Consider the following 2,224-nt stretch of genomic DNA (forward strand, 5'->3'; position numbering starts at 1 on the left):
GCGGGGGGCAGAGGGAGAGACAGAGAATGAAAAACAACGACAGAGAGATGGAGGGAGAGAAAAACAGAGGAGAAGGAGGGAGGGAGAGGGAGACTTGGAGTGCAATTTAGGTACGCTATCTGTTCCTATCTTAAACAATTAAATGCAGAAAACGTGCACCCTGAAACTGTTACTCTTTTGAAACTGAATACCATCAGTGTTGGTGCAAGCCAAATGTTGCTGAAAGTCACATTGAATGCAAAAAGCTGCATGGAGGGAGAGCAGCAGGATTGACCATTGCTGCAATGCAGCTTCTTTTAAACTTTTGGCCATTATATGAATGGCAAAGAGTGTAACAGCTGATGTGTAAACTCTCCTTGATTCAATTAAGATGGAGCAAACACAGCACTCATCCCTGGGGAGCCCACAGTCTAATGGGGAAGATCAAGAGCATGGACCGATCCCATACAAGGTAATAGCTGCTAGAAGAGAGGCACGCATCTAGTGCCATGCAAACACAGATCAGGGAGCAACGAACTCAGCAGGGGTGGGAACAGGACCCAGGAGCACTCCTGCAAAAAGAGGTGAGATGTGGGGGGGCGCACTGCAGGGCTGAGCAGGAGGCAGTCAGTAGGCGATGGGATTCCAGGTAGAAGAAACAGCATGAATAAAGAAAGCAGAGCTAAAAGTACACAATGTTTTCAGGAAATAATGAGCAGGCAAATGTGGTTAGAAGCTCAGGGAGTGGCTGGTAATGAATCTGAAAGTTAGGCAGAAAGTCAAGGAGTGAAGGGCCTTGGATGGCCTATGAAGAATTTTGGAATTTCTGTAGGTGTGTATTCAGGGAGGGTTCCCTCAAAGGCTTTCAGGAGAGGAGGTGATCTGAGAGCTGCGTTTAGAAAGATGACTGACTACTGCGTGACAGATGGACAGAGGGGCAAGTCAGGGCAAGCAGATGAGACAGGATTCTTGTTTAGGACACTGTTCCTCCTCCACCCCACCCTCACCTCAGCCTGGCCTCTGTACACGAATAGGTCTAATGGCGGATCGAGAAAAACACCAGTCAGCTTCCGCTCTTCCTCCATGGCAGGGCCGACCTCGGCACATCCACACTGCGGTTTTCTCTTGGAAGGAAGGATCAGGCTAGCGGGGCAGTGTCCTCATGAGGCCTCGTGCACACCCCTAAATCCTCCGTTAGGAGATGCCTGTAGGCCTGTAGCAGCCGCAGACAGAGCTGAGCCCTGGCTTCAGACTCTTCCCTAGAAGGAGCAATGAGGAAGTTTATCCTCTACCTTCCCAGGAGAGTATCTGCTTGATGCTGGGTTATCTCCTAAACTGAATTTTGATTACTTTGTATTTAAGTTTAGGAACGTCTCTGTCATTTGGGAACTGCTTTTCTGGCTGCAGCTCAACAGTGGCGAACATGGACACTGGGAACAGGCCCAGAGTCCTGAAATGATTAATATCCTGTGTTGTGGGACGTCCAAACGCATGGATAGCCAAAGCATTTAGAGAGCCAGGCTAGGCAGTGCAGTGTGATGGCAGACAAGTCCCTTGAGTTATACGGGGGGAAAGATGCTACAATTCCATACACTAAATCAATGAAATTGAATAAAGGTTCTGAACCAAACCTCCCTGTGGACATTGACTTTCGGGAAATGGCTCGGGGCTGGTTGGTCTGCAGAGCTCTGGCACGGCTTCTCCAGGGAGACTCAGCCGATCCCAGGTTTACCATCTTACACTCTAGACCTGATCCCTCACTTTGACCAGTGGCAGCCCTGATCTCCTGACTGCCACAGATCAATTGCTTTGTTTATCTTATTGTCAGCCTGTTTTGGAAACACTCTCCTAGACTCCTTTCTGACTCATAGGTTAAGGAGCGTGAGTAATTCTTCTGGAACTCACTTGGAACAGGAGGGAACCCTTCCCATTTGATTTCCGGTCCTAAAAAAAGACAAGATAGTTCACACAGGATGCTAATTAGTTTTCCTATTCAACAGTTAGCGTGGCCTAGTCCTGTTTGGAAAGCTGCCTTTTGTGCTGCAGGGTTTAGAAATTTGAATACCTCCAGCTTTTATTCAGAATTTATAAAATGACACCAGAATATCGTTTTGTTGTGATTAGTTTTGCTGCTAAAACTAGGGTTTTTGGTTTTGTTTTGTTTTTTTACAGAGAAAACCCAAATGATTTCTCTTATGAGACATAAAAATGAGGAGAAATGAACAACCAGATTTCTCTTCTACAT

The 2,224-nt window shown here is 46.9% G+C and overlaps 1 annotated feature.

Moving 5' to 3' along the window:
- Nucleotides 1,025-2,224: an enhancer, noted in NCBI's record as "P300/CBP strongly-dependent group 1 enhancer chr11:13282544-13283743 (GRCh37/hg19 assembly coordinates)". NCBI's record gives its function as "activates an origin of replication core promoter dependent on BRD2, BRD4, P300/CBP, MED14 and CDK7 cofactors, with strong dependence on P300/CBP, by STARR-seq in HCT116 cells {active_cell/tissue: HCT116}" and the evidence as "EXISTENCE:reporter gene assay evidence [ECO:0000049][PMID:35650434]".

The sequence above is a fragment of the Homo sapiens genome, chromosome 11 (assembly GCF_000001405.40).
Source record: "Homo sapiens chromosome 11, GRCh38.p14 Primary Assembly".
Taxonomy (NCBI): Eukaryota; Metazoa; Chordata; class Mammalia; order Primates; family Hominidae; genus Homo; species Homo sapiens.